At 40.9% G+C, this 14,059-nt stretch overlaps 1 long non-coding RNA gene across 2 annotated transcripts in view; it reads left to right on the top strand.

The window, feature by feature from the left end:
- LINC03021 (long intergenic non-protein coding RNA 3021) overlaps positions 1–14,059 on the top strand; it is a 198,360-nt gene that overhangs the window by 101,054 nt on the left and 83,247 nt on the right. The window contains exon 1 of one of the 2 annotated variants that reach the window (NR_125423.1): positions 4,033–4,103. The exons of the other annotated variant lie outside the window; for it this stretch is intronic. This is a non-coding gene — a long non-coding RNA (long intergenic non-protein coding RNA 3021). Of the gene's footprint in view, positions 1–4,032; positions 4,104–14,059 lie in introns of those variants that run through there. 2 annotated transcript variants of the gene reach the window in all.

The raw sequence follows: 14,059 nt of genomic DNA, 5'->3' as shown, positions 1-14,059 counted from the left end.
GGGCATCTTGCTCTGTTGCCCAAGCTAGACTGCAGTGGTGCACTCATAACCCACTACAGCCTCAAACCCTTGGCCTCTGGAAATCCTCCTGCCTCAGCCTCCTGAGTAGCTGGGATGCCACTACCCTTGGCTCAGTTGTGTAATTTCTAAACTGGAATGCCATTTAAGATGCTCATACTGTTTTTCTCCCCTTGTCATGTTACAGGAAAGCGCAGGAATCATCAGTTCTTATTCTTGGAGAAAGAATTCTGCCAAGTGACTGGTTTGTCAAAAAAATTTTTTAAAAAATTAAAGGAAAATAGACAGCAGAGAATTTACTGAGAGAGACAGTGCATGCTGAAAAGAAGAGGCAGAACTGGCTGCTGAGGGGAGTGAGCCCACAGCAGCCTGAGTTCTGTGTTGGGATTTTATGATGAAAAATAGTCTCTTGAAGTTCTCGCCTCTGCCTTCAGTCCCCTCCTTTTTTCTTTGACTAGTGTTTCCACTCCTGCCTTAAGAACCCCCCTTCTCCCTACCGAGTTTCCTCCCCAGGTTTGTGGGACCCTCCCTTACTATTAGTTGCTGCACGTGCACAGGCCCAGTGTTGTATACAAACGGTGCCTGTGTTACTGCCTAGGAATTTCTTCCTTGCCCTCTTCCCCTTATCAACTGACACCCAGCTGCATTCCAACAGGTTAACTGCAGAGTGAGCAATTGCTGGGCATCTTAAGGGGCGTTCCTTCCTGCCTAGGTATTTCCCCCACTCTCTGCATATACCCAGCATGCAGGTTTCGGGTGGTCCCCGGGGTGAGAGATTTTCCAGACCTCTTTTTCTCAGGGATCCCCATCTCCTGCTTATGTCTGGCTGTCTGCCTACTCTAACAGCTGTACTTTTCTGTAGTTTTATATTTTTCCTGTAAATATATTTATGTCTTTGAATAGTCTTTTTCTGAAATGGCTTTTACCTAGCCATCCAATTCCTGTGTGCAGTAGCACAAGTTGGAATATTTAGCTTTTCTTTCTAACAAATATTTATAGACAGGGCTGACTGCACTGGTTTAGTAATGCATGATAAGTTCAAATATTTTCTGGCAAATACGTGCCGATAAGTCAATACAATTAATAAGTCATAAATGTTGAACACTTTGCATTTTCACAAACTTTATATATTTGTCTAAAAATTTCTCTCCTCTATGTATATTTTCAACACCATCATTTGGGACACATCTTAGCAGAGTCCACTTCACATTATCCTGAATTTCTCAACCTCTTTACACATGTTTTCAACTGTAGTGGTATGTGCAGCTATTCAGTTACTTCAACCTTGGCACAGACTCCCGGAATACACTGAGCAATATTGGTAACATTCATGGAGTCATAAACGGCCAGGAAAGGTCCCTTTAAATCAGGTGTCTTATTTGACTCATCATAGTACTTCCAATGCTCTCAAGTTATCAAACCCATCAAAACAACTATTTACACTAAAGGACTAATAATAGTCTTAAAAGAGGCTATTTGAATATATTTCTTCAGCTGTCACAAATATGGTATAACTAATTCAATGCGGGAAAACTGCTTTTCTTGCTCGGTTAGCAAAAGAATCACTCAGAAAAGTACCTTACAGAAGCCTCAGTTTACGGTTTCAAATATTGCTGAAGGAATTCTGCACTGCTGAGATGTAACGTTACATATGTTCTATTTTTTCTCTGGGTGCTGCTCTCCTCTGAGTTGGGAAGGGTGGGTTGAGTGCCTAATCTGGTAATGTTGGTATACATGATATTATTTTAGTACATGTACAGTGTTGTCATGTAATAAACACAATTTGAGGAATTTATTTTGATAAGAAAATAACCCATACTCCACTATACCCTCAAAGAAGGAGATTCAAAGATCACTGTGCTTCTTCTCTTCTTCTTTTGACTTAATGGTCCATTAGATTCCTCAGCATCTGGTGATGCATCTATCACTTTCCAGAGCTCTACACTGCACTTTTCGCTTTATCGCAGCTCTCTCTCTGGGGAATTTTGTATTTGTTCTTTCACAGCTGGGATGATCCCTGTCCCAAGTGCCTCTTTCTCTGCAGAGTCCGCTGTGTGTGAATATCACTTCTGACTCTGCTGGTTTCACACTATTTATGTTCCTTTGTATAATTTGAGGCCTAGGTATTATGGGGTGATACTTCAGTACTGTTTGAGTCTTCATTTCTCTATTATCATTTCATATAAAATCTGTATTTTGCAAAGACAATGCTTCTTTGAATCGTTTTATAAACTGATATAAAGTGGTGATTTTTTTCATATTTCCTTTTCATTTTTCCCCTGCACCTATGGCATCTCCTTTATTTTTTCTTTTATTTTTTAGTTGAGATGTAATAATTGCACATAATGCATGGGATTCAGAGTAAGGTTGTCATAAATGCATACAATGTGTAAAAATCAAACCAGGATGATTAGTATATACATCGCACCAAATACTTATCGTTTCCTTGGACTGGGAATACTCAAAATCGTCTCTTCTAGCTAATTGAAAACTCACAATTAGTTACTTTTAACTATGGTTATCCTACAGGACTATAGCACACTAGCACTTATTGTTTCGGTCTAGCTGTAATTTTGTATCCGTTAACAAACTACTCTCTAACCTCCCCTCAACCCTACCCCTTCTAGCTTCTAATGACCAAAATTTTACTCTCTATATCCATGAGCTCCACCTTTTTTTTGAAATCTCCAACATATGAGTGAAAAAGTAGTATTTATCTTTCTGTGTCTGGCTCATTCCATTTAACCCAGCATCCTCCAGGCTTATCATTGTTGCCATAAATGACAGAATTTCATTTCGTTTTATGGGTGAATAGTGTTCCATTGTGAATATATACTACATTTTCTTTCTCCATTCACATATTGGTGGGTGTTGAGGTTGACTGTATATCTTGGTTATTGTGAATACTGTTGTAATAAACATGGGGAAGAAGATATTATTTTTGATATGCTGATATATCTTTCTTTGGATAATTACCCAGCAGTGGTATTGCTGGATCACACGGTAGATGTAATTTCAGTTTTTTGAGCAACCTCCATACTGTTTTCACAATGGCTGTACTAATTTACATTCCCACCAACATTGTATAAGAGTTCCCTTTTCTCCACATCTCCACAAGCCTTTATCTCTGTGTGTGTCTGTGTGTGTGTGTTTGATAATAGCCATTCTGAGTGAGATTATATCTCATTGTGGTTTTAATTTTAATTTACCTGATTAGTGATATTTAGCATTTTTTCATGTTTGTTGGACATTTCTATATCTTCTCTTGAGAGATATTTATACCAATTATTTGCCCATTTTTAACAGAATTACTGTTCTGCTGTGGAGTTGTTGGGTCCCTTACATATTCTGGATGTTAGCCCCACGGCAGTGAACAGTTTGCAGATATGTTCTCCCATTCTGCAGGTTTTCTCTTTCTTCTGTTGATTGTTTCTTTTGCGGTGTAGAAGCTACTTAGCTTAATATAGTCCCTATTTCTATTTGTTTGTGTTGCCTGTGTTTTTGAAGTCTCACCCATAAAATATTTGTCCAGAAACAACGTCCTAACGTGTTTCCCCTGTTTACTTCTAGCAGTTTCATAGGTTCAGGGTTGAGTGGACTCAGGAGGATGCTGTCCGGCCCGGGATGTGGAGAGGCAGGGGCTGTGGGGCCCCGGGGCCAGATGCAGTGATGCGGCCCCCACCGCCAGATGGCACTGCGCTGGGGGTGGAGAGGAACAGAGACGGTTCCCTCTGGAACGAGGCTGGCATCTCCCTGCTCTGGGCTCGTAGACTGTGAGGGCCAAGAGGCACTCCTGCAGCCAACTTGTAGATGTCCCTGGTGGGAGCGTGGACTGCATGGGACTTCTCACTTACCTTTCCCCACAATGGGTAGTCGTTGTTGCCCCGAGTCAGTCCCGTCCCGTTGTTTTGCTTCCTACTCTCGGCCGCCACCTCGAGTCTCCACGCCTCAGCGCTTGGCGCTCAGCGCTCTCTCCTGGCGCCTCAGCGCTCTCTCCTGGCGCCTCAGCGCTCTCTCCTGGCGCCTCCCTCCTCGCTGAACGCCAACAGTGCTCTTCCTCAGATGCTCGATTTGACTGGTGTGAGGTCAGTATGAACCCATTTATATGAAGGTTTACAACAGACAAAATTAAGCTGTGTATTTTAGAGATGAATATGTAGGCGGCAAAAGTGTCTTTATAACAAGGAAGTGTTTGTAGTATTCAGGGTTATGGTCACTTTTAGGGGCAAAGAAATATGAGATCGGAAAGACAATACAGCAGAAAATGTGAGGTATTCACATTATTTTCTTGTCAACAAAAGTGTTTATAATATTCATTATGCTCTATTTGCATTCTTCTGTATAGAAGTTATATTTCACAAGATTTAATTACATGCTTTCTCATCAAGTTAGCCTCTATTTTTTTCCCTATTTTTTAGCCTTCTGTTCAAGTTTTTAAAATTATTTCTAAATTTTGCATATAAAGACAGCATACTTTATCAGAATCACTGAAGCCTCAATTATCTGGAAAGAAAAAATATGTTCATGCCTCTGTCGGTAAACAAGAAAGAAACTGGAGGTAGATGGAATGCAAAAATAGGACATGCATCTGAGACTGAATTGCAAGCAGTCATTGGAGAACAGCTATCAAAGGCAGAATGCAAACTAATGAAAATTTGTGCTCCTTTTCTATAATTATTTTTTAGCTTCTTTTCTCATTGAGTACTAATGACATTATTTGTCTTCCTTTAATAGAGGTTTACTTTTGAACTCCAATTTTTAAATTATTTTTAATAAACAAAAAATTTTTATGACATCAATGATATTTAGTTCAACTTTCCAAAAGGCAATTAAGAATGTCAGAAGATACAATCAAATTAATGACAGCAATTTGTGTTTTCTCACCTTTACCTGAGAAGATCAAGTTGAAATATTTTATAGACCTCATAATTCTGCACAGTATTCTCTGTGTTCCACAAACCCTGACACTTAGAATACATTAATGTCTTTGAAACAGAATACACTAAGGTTGGTAATTCATATTCGCATTATATTTGCATACTTCTATACTAAATTGTAGATGGATATGCTCAAGATTTAAGGAAGAAAGAAAAGACCAAAGGAAGAAAGAGGGAGGGAGGAAGGAAAACGGAGAAGAAAAGAAAACACAACTTAGCTAATTTAGAGTATTGTAAAGAAAACGTCCTCATGAAAATTATCATTTTTTGCGTATATACCATGTGTGTAGACCCATAGCACATTCAGTGGTACCTTTACCTTGGAAAAAATGGTTGGTACTAGAATTTCTCACTGTGCATGTCCCATTGAAATCTGTACCTAGGGAGAAAAATTCCATTGATTTGTCTTTGCGGAAGCCTGTGTTGTCCTCCTATGCTGCAGGCATTCCACTCTCATGCTTTGACTTCACTGTTCATTTTTCTGAGACATGTGGTATGACAGCTACTTCCCATTCTTCTGTTACTCTATGCAGAAAATATTCCTAGGGAGTTGTTCACACTTCTTTGGAATTGACCTCACCAGTCTCCCCTCCATCCACTGAAATCAGGCTCTTCTCCTCTCCAGGCCACTAAAATGGCACTTACTGTTGTTACCACTGCCTCTAACATTCCAAATCTAAAGATCAACATTCAGACTCTGAGTGCTGTTTTATTAGTATAATTTGAAATCGTTGATCACTTTCTCCTGAAAACTCCATCGTTACTTGATTTCTGGGCTCCATTCTCTATTGACTCTCTTCCTTGTTTTCCCCTTCCTCCTCTGCTGTGCTGGGGCCTTCTCATCTTCCAAGCTTTTAATGCTGGAATGCCCTGGGGCTGCATTCCTGTGGCTTCCCTCTTCTCTAGTTAGTGTCACTTGCTGTGCAATCACATTTGCATGTCTCTAATTCCATTTGTACTTTCGACTCATGTAGCTCTCCCTGAATTCATATCTATGTGGGTGTCTAATAATCACCTGAAAGTTAACACATATAAAATAAGGTTCCTGGTTTCCCTCTAAATCTGCCCCTTCAAAGTCTTCACCAAATCAGTAAATGGCAACTTTACTCCCAGTTTCCTAGTCCAGAAACCTTGATTTTGTCTTTATCACATACCTGACATCCAATCCATCCTTAAATATATGAATGTGATCTTTAGAATCCATCCAAATGCCTAACCTCGAATCCCCGGGGCCATGGGGACTTCTTGGTCTAAGACTTCTTGGTCTAAGCCTAGTGTGTTAATTTCCTGGGGCTTCCATAACAAAGTACCACTATTTGGGTATCCAAAACAACAAGAATCTATTGCCTCACACTTCGGGGGCTCTGAGTCCAACATCAAGGTGTTAGCAAGGCCCCCTCCCTCAGAAGGCTGTAGGGGCTAATCCTTCCTGGCCTCTTCTTGGCTTCTGATGGTTTGGTGGCAATCTCTGACATTCCTCGGCTTGCAGCTTCACCACTCCAATCTTTGCCTTCATGAGTGTCTCTGACTATATATTGCCATTGATATAGGAGTTAAGAAGAAATCAATTAGGCAGATAGTGAGGATACAGGAGTCCTAGGTAAGGTTTTCCTTTTAATGAAAAGTAGCCCCCAAATCATTTTCTTTTCTAACAAAGAGCAGCTTGTAAAATCAAGCTACAGACATAGACAAGCAAGCTGGGAGCTTGTACAGGCAAATGCCAGCAGTTGTGCCAATAAGGAAAGGCTACCTGGGACTAGGCATGTTCAAAATGGTGGCTCCATCTTCCCATCTCTTTGCCAAACCATGTGTACAGTAGGAAGACAATATGGTGCCAGTCAGGCAAAGACCCCATGTGCATAATAAGATTAGGGTGGGGTGACCAGCCTTGCCCACGTGCTATGTAAACATCACACCTGGTGCAACCAATCTCTCACAAGAGAGAGAGAGCTTCTCTCCTTTCTCCGTCTTTTGTAGATTAAACCTCTGCTCCTAAACTCACTCCTAGTGTGTGTCTGTGTCCTTAATCTTCTTGGTGTGAGATGATGCCACTTCACCATCTTCTTTAAGGACAACAGCCAGGTTGTATTATGGGGCCACCCAATATAGACTTGAGGAACTCATGCAGTCTCTCTTCTTTTCTTCATCTGTTACATTGGGTATTACCATCGGTTTTACAAAGTTGATGTAAACATGTTATGCAATTCTGCCTACGAAGCACAAAATTATGGGCACCTGTGAAGTGATGAAGGTGATGAACCCAATGCACCCACCCACATCCCTCTCACACAGGTCCTATTGCCCTTGTAGGTGGCACTTGACCCTTGTTATGCTTTAATTAAAATTCCTTGGTGTGTTTAAACCTTTTAACTTCTGCAAAAAACCATGACCACATTCAGTTGTGGATTATTAGACTAAAAGTAGCTTATTGAATGGCTGTGAGAATTTAGTTGCCTCATAAAAGTAATATACTGCCTAGTTAAAACATTATCTAAACAGCATTCTAGACATAGAAGATATTGAACATAAACTGGGTTCTTGTCTTTCTTATGTAGTACACTGGCGATGAGAGGCATAGTTTGGGGAGTTGCATATTTCATTTTGCTGCTGATTCAGACCGTGATAATACAGTAATATGTGGATCCTCTTAGTTTCATCCTGACAATAATGATTTTCTTATCTTACCCAGCTGGATAAAACATATTCTGTGGGAAACTTGTCAATCACAAGGTTGTGTATATTAGAGAATGAGAGGTCCGACAGAGCATTTTTTTTTTAGTGTAAAAATTCAACATTGTTTTGGCTTGCTTCTTATCTGCTTCTCAGACTAAAGCGGAAGCTCCCTGACGCCAGGATCCTTGTCTGTTTTGTTGACATAAACAGTGCTTGGTACATAATACATAAGGAGTCAAGTTTGTTTAAAAATAATTGAATGAATGCCTAAAGGCTTTCACTTAAAAGCTAAATGGAACATTTCATCCTTGACAATGAGTACCCAAGAACAAAGCAAAGGAAGGAAAAAATATGGGAGTCTTTCTTTCCCAAGTAGTTTAAATGATCTTCAATCTATAACAGTTTTCCTTGAGTTGTTTACTGCTGTTAGGAGTTTCTAGGAGACGCATTTGAAAAAAGTTTTTCAATTATGACCTGAGAGAGGACCTCCTTTTATATCAGAAATTAAAATAGATGGGAGAGATGATGTATTAGCTTGGTGCAAAATTTATTGAGGTTTTCGCCGTTAAAAGTAATGCAGTAAGCTAATAAACCAATAGTAAAAATATGGTTGAATGGTTTCTTCAGGTTGGATGGTCTGAGAATCTCTCTCAGAAGTACCCGAGTGATGGAAGGAATGATCTACACAAGGAAAGCCAGTGTCTCCGGCTGAGGGAGGAGCTGATGTGAACACATGTGGTGTTATGTGCATGCGTATTATATAGACACTGTAGCAACAAGCTTGCTTGTCTGGGAGTGCAGTGAGTGAAAAGGGAGGATGTTTTAAGATGAGGTCATATTTTTAAGTTTATTTTTATTGCTCTGGTTTTCCTAATCCAGGCCAAGAATTTTGAGTTTATTTTAAGCCTTTAGCATATTTTAAACAAGGTTTGACACCATTTAAAAATGATTTTTGGGGTTGGGTGTGGTGGCTCATGCCTGTAATCCCAGCATTAAAGGAGGTAGAGGTGAGTGGATGACCTGAGCTCAGGAGTTCGATACAAGCCTGGCCAACATGGTGGAACCCCGTCTCTACCAAAAATACAAAATCTAGCGAGGCATGGTGGCTTGTCCCAGCTTGTTTGGTGGCTGGGGCACAAGAATTGTTTGGATCCAAGAGGCAGAGGTTGCAGTGAACTGAGATCGTGCCACTGCACTCCAACCTCGGCGACAGAGCAAGATCCTGTCTAAAAAAAAAAAAAAAAAAAAAAAAAGGAAAATTATTCTGACTGTTTGCTTGAATAGAAGATTTTCAAGAGAGACATAAAGAAGAAAAGAGATAATTTCGAACACTGCTATATTAATTTAAGATAGATTATGAGGATTTGGAGCAGTGTGGAGGTCAAAAAATTAGACATATCTGGAAATGTTTTGTAGATGGAATGGACAAGAATCAATTAATTGAATATGAGGAAATGGAAAGACGAATCAAAGATAACTCTTATTTTGGGCTTAGGCAATTAAATTCCTAATGGTGACATTACACAGATCTGGGGGAGAATGAAATGGTGTAGGATTCAGGATGAATGAAAATAAAGACTTTGTTTTGAGCTGCAAAGTTTGAGATTCTCATTAGATAAGGATAAGGAGAGGTCAACCTGGACTTCGGAGAGTCATTACAAATATGTGGCATTTAAAATTATTAAACTGGATAGATCAACTGCAGATAATGTGTGTGTCAGAGGGGAAAAGGACCCCAAACAGGTCCCTGGGAGAGCCACAGCATTTAACTATTGCGTGATCAGGCAGGACCTTTGACAGACAACGGAGAAAGATAAAAAGGAAGTCAGTGAAAGGAAGACACTCGCTAAGCAGAGTGGCGACTCCTGTGGAATATGCGTCCCTGATGTCAGCTGTAAAGGCAGACGTGACTGTTTGATTTGAAGACGTAGAGGAGGTATCTGCAGACCCTGGCAGATTTATTCTCTTTGGAACTGGAACAGTGAGAAGTGAGGCCAGCTTTGAGTGGATTGAGGAGAGAATATGGCATAAGAAAAAGAGACCTTAAAAATAAGTTGTTTTTATTTTTTATTTTTGTATATAGAAAGGCGGTGTCACTCTGTAGCCCAGGCTGGTCTCAAATTTGTGGCCTCAAGCAAGCCTCCCACCTCAGCCTCCCAAAGTGCTGGGATTACAGGTTGTGAGTCACAGTGACTGGCCTAAAAGTAACTTTTAAAGTAAGTTTTGATGTGAAGGAGGACAAAAATGGAGCAGTCTCTGAAGAAGATAGGGTGTCGAGGGCGGGGCTGCAGAAGGTAGCATTGCATTTCAGCAGCGAGAGCCTTGCCAGGCTACTACCACAGAGAAATACGGAGAGGGGAGGCAAGGGAGGTTCTCTGCAAGAGAAAAACTTTCATGATGGACAGTGGAATCTCAGCGGAATAAGGGGAAACTTGAGGCTGGGAGACAGTGAGATCTTGAGAGGTTTGCAGAGAGATGAGAGAAGACTCAAACGAGTGCAGGAATTTCACTGATGGGATGTGGAGTGTGTAAGTAAGAAAGGAGGAGATTGCTGCAAGGGAGCAGAGTGCTTGGATGTGAGATGTCTGAGTCTGCGAAGAGAGAGGAGGTGGCTGTCAAGGGTGGGCTGTTGGAATGGCACTGAAGACGAGTGGAGGGATTCCCATTTGGGGGAGTTAGGCAGTCATAGTGTCCAATGGGTAAGACTAATGTGAGGTCTGATGCTCACAGACAAATGGAGGAAGTAGAGGCAGAATGGAAGGTGGTGAGGTGCTGCAGTTTTGGGCTGAGAAAGGCTAGGATATGCAGAAGAAAAAATTGAGAGCCTGACCTCTGAAGGAACTTGTATATTTGAAAGAACCAGATTCTTTAAGAAATACTTTTATGCAGCCAGATGTGGTGGCTTACACCTGTAATCCCGCACTTTAGGAGGCCGAGGTGGGAGGATCACCTGAGGTCAGGAGTTCAAGACCAACCTGGCCAACATGGCAAAACTTGGTGGTGCACATCTGTAGTCCCAGCTACTCAGGGGGCTGAGGCAGGAGAATCACTTGAACACAGAAGGTGGAGGTTGCAGTGAGCTGAGATCACACCACTGCACTTCAGCCTGCAGCCTGGGCAACAGAGTGAGACTCTGTCTCAAAAAAAAAAAAAATGAAAGAAAGAAAAGAAAAAGAAATACTTTTATCTATGTTACATGCATCCACACACGCATGCACACAGCATGGCTAAATGAATCCTTGACCTGTCATGCACCGGCCCCATGGGTGAATAGTTGTGCACATTCTGCAGACACATGCCTAATTTTCATTTCCGCCTTTACAGTCTAGGTATCTAGCAGCAGCTTTCTCTGTTTTTGTTAACTTTTATCTTAAGTTAAGGGGTACCTGCGCAGATTTGTTCTATAGGTAAACCCATGTCCTGGGTGTTTGTCGTAAAGATTATTTAATCACCCAGGTATTAAGCCTGGTTCCCATTAGCTACTCTTTTCTGACCTCTCCCTCCTCCCACCCTCCAATCTCCAGTAGGCCCCTGTGTCTGTTTTTCCCCTTCCTGTGTCCATGTGTCCCCCTCATTTAGCTCCCAGTTATTAGTGACAAGATGTGGTCGTTGGTTTTCTGTGCCTGCATTAGTTTGCTAAACTCATACTCATTTATCCGCACTCTCTTCCTCTGCACTGTCCCCCCCGCTGACCGATGCTGCCACTCAGCCTCCTGAGCAGGCCTTGGTGTCCCAGACAACACTGTCCTAGGTCTATGCCTTGTCAGGACCTGCAGTCCAGCTGTGGCCTCTGTTGCTGCTATTGCCATTGCTAATCGTCCCACTCTGTGCTCACTGCCTGTAACAGAAGATTTCCCAGGATGAGAGTTATCTTCCTGTTGGTTCACCAACCTCTTAGGTGCTGAATTATAGCTCTTCTCATGGTGTTTTATGCTTTGCTGTTTATCACCTCTTGTGACGCTGTTTCTAAACTGAAAAATCCTAGATGAATGCAGTATAAATTGCTCAGGAATATAGCATCCCCCACAATATTAAAAAAGTCAATGAAAACGCTTTTTGTTTCAATTTGTCCAGTATTTTCCGGTTTCTTATTTTCATGTTCCCGACACTTGAACCCCCTCTTCTTCAATGCCATGCACACAGTACCTGGGATAGGAGGTAGGGAGCAGCCCCTGCCTCTGAGAGTAACGTGTGGTTTGTGATAGGTGTGCTTTGATTTCACTGTGTGTCTTTGTCCTTCAGCACTGAGGTAGACATCAGTGTGTGTTTTTGCTTTTGAGAGTATGTTAAAGAATGTAGGACATAGCCCTTTCCACAGGATCCTCCATTTTTACTGCACTTTCTCCCCTTAAAATGACTGGCATGTTCTTAAGGCATTCAGTGAGTCCATCTTATCTGACACTCAATCCTTCCCAATAGTATCTCTTCCCAAAGGCCATTCAGCTTGAATACCTGCAGAGACACAGGACTGAGAACCTTTTGAAGCCAATGATACCATCTGCGAGATCACTGCTGTCCAATTCTTCCTAATATGAAACTGAAATCATCTCTCAGTTGCTCTCACTCTGTTGTTCTGGTTCCAGCTGATTGAGTGGTTCAGAGTGAATAGAATGCCTATCTAACAGACCAGTCCTTCGAGGATTTGATAACTGCTATCTTATCTTATGGAGTTAACTCTTCCTCAGTTACATCCTACAAATACAAATGCTTTGAAGACTCCACTTTGCTCTTCTCTCTGTGTGTTAATTTTGCTGTTGTTGGTCTCCGCAGCAGGATGGTCGTCATTGCAAACTGCAGACTCCTTGAAAGGGCCAACCGCTGCACACGAGGACTTGCAGTTTTCTCACTGTAATTTCTAGACAAAACTCAAGCCCAAGAAATTGAGGAAATACAGCTATTTAAAATAGTTTGTAAGCAATAGTTGTACTAATTCCCAGAAAAATTTAACATTCCTTTCAGACTCTAGAAAGCAAATATAAAATTAAAAAAAAATTATAACTAACATATTGAGAAAATTTTTAAGCTTCTGAACATTTTTGTGCTTTGAGGAATCTAGTTCTGATATAACTGAAATCATTTCCCAACCAGGCTGGGCTCCAGTGCTGACAGGGTTTTTGTTCTGCAGTGACTCTAGGGAATAGCCAATCCTTAAATGTGTTTCTAGGCATAGCCCTTGGGACAGAGGGGTCTTTAAATGGACAACACGTGTGGTGGAACATGGAAACTCTTTGATGACAGCTGTTCACTTCAGTGATTACACTTTTGTACATAATGCAAGATGATCAATTCATTAAAGATCTGTGTGTGTCAGACACACATTGTGAGAATAATAAAAAACATATTAGAAAGACATTTAAAGACATAAAGAGCAGATTTGTCCTATAACATAGGGATGACCCAGATGGATGACCAGGGCCTGGAACAAACCTAGACTTTATCCTTTAGAACATAATTATCTTGTCACAGGAGGGAGAATTTTGCTAGGAAATTGTATTAGGCTGTGCTTGCATTGCTATAAAGAAATACCCGAGACTGGGTAATTTATAAAGAAACAAAGTTTAATTGGTTCACGGTTCCGCAGGCTGTGTGGGAAGCATGGTATAAGCATCTGGTAGGCTTCTGGGGAGGCCTCAGGAAGCTTCCAGTCATGGCAGAAGGCGAATGGGGAACAGACAGTCATATGGCCAGAGCAGGAACAAGTGAGAGAGAGGGAGGTGCCACACTCTTTTAAATGGCCAGATCTCAAGAGCACTCACTCACTCTCCCGAGGACAGCACCAAGGAAATGGCACTAAACCATTCATGAGAAATCCACCTCCATGATCTGGTTACCTCCCACCAGGCCCCAACTCCAACACTGAGGACTACAATTCAACATGAGATTTTGGGGCACAAATATGCAAACTACGTCAATAATACTTAACTTTGACCCTTTTAGGGATAATTTTCATATTACTAAGTATATATCTGTATAGCACTCTGCAAACTTCAGACAATTGTGTTGGTTAAAGCAAAGAGTAGAATATAGAATAGTTTTTATAAAGGAAATAAAGTTCTTCTGGAAATAAACAGTGGTAAAATTCTATAGTTAGTACTTTTACAAAACAATATAGCAACTATAAGGAAAGTTAGAGGGCCATTAGAAAAATGTTTATACTTAATTATTATTAAACCTGCAACAATTATTGAGTATAATGATTGCAGATCTCGTATTGGCCAGTTCTGTGTTATATACTTTGTGAACACATAGAAGGTTCATTCTACTGCCTATGAAATCTTGTTAACAAAATCACATGTGGATCTCTGGCAAGAGTACAGTATTATAATATATTGGCAATGATATGAATAGGCAATTCACTGCAAAAGAATGGAGCCTAATTAACTTATTAATGCATGCCCAAGCTTACTAAAATTTACAGAATTGATAACTTA

Source organism: Homo sapiens, chromosome 8 (assembly GCF_000001405.40).
Source record: "Homo sapiens chromosome 8, GRCh38.p14 Primary Assembly".
NCBI lineage: Eukaryota > Metazoa > Chordata > Mammalia > Primates > Hominidae > Homo > Homo sapiens.
Note: the sequence above shows the minus strand (reverse complement) of the source record. Positions and strands in the feature narration are given on the sequence as shown.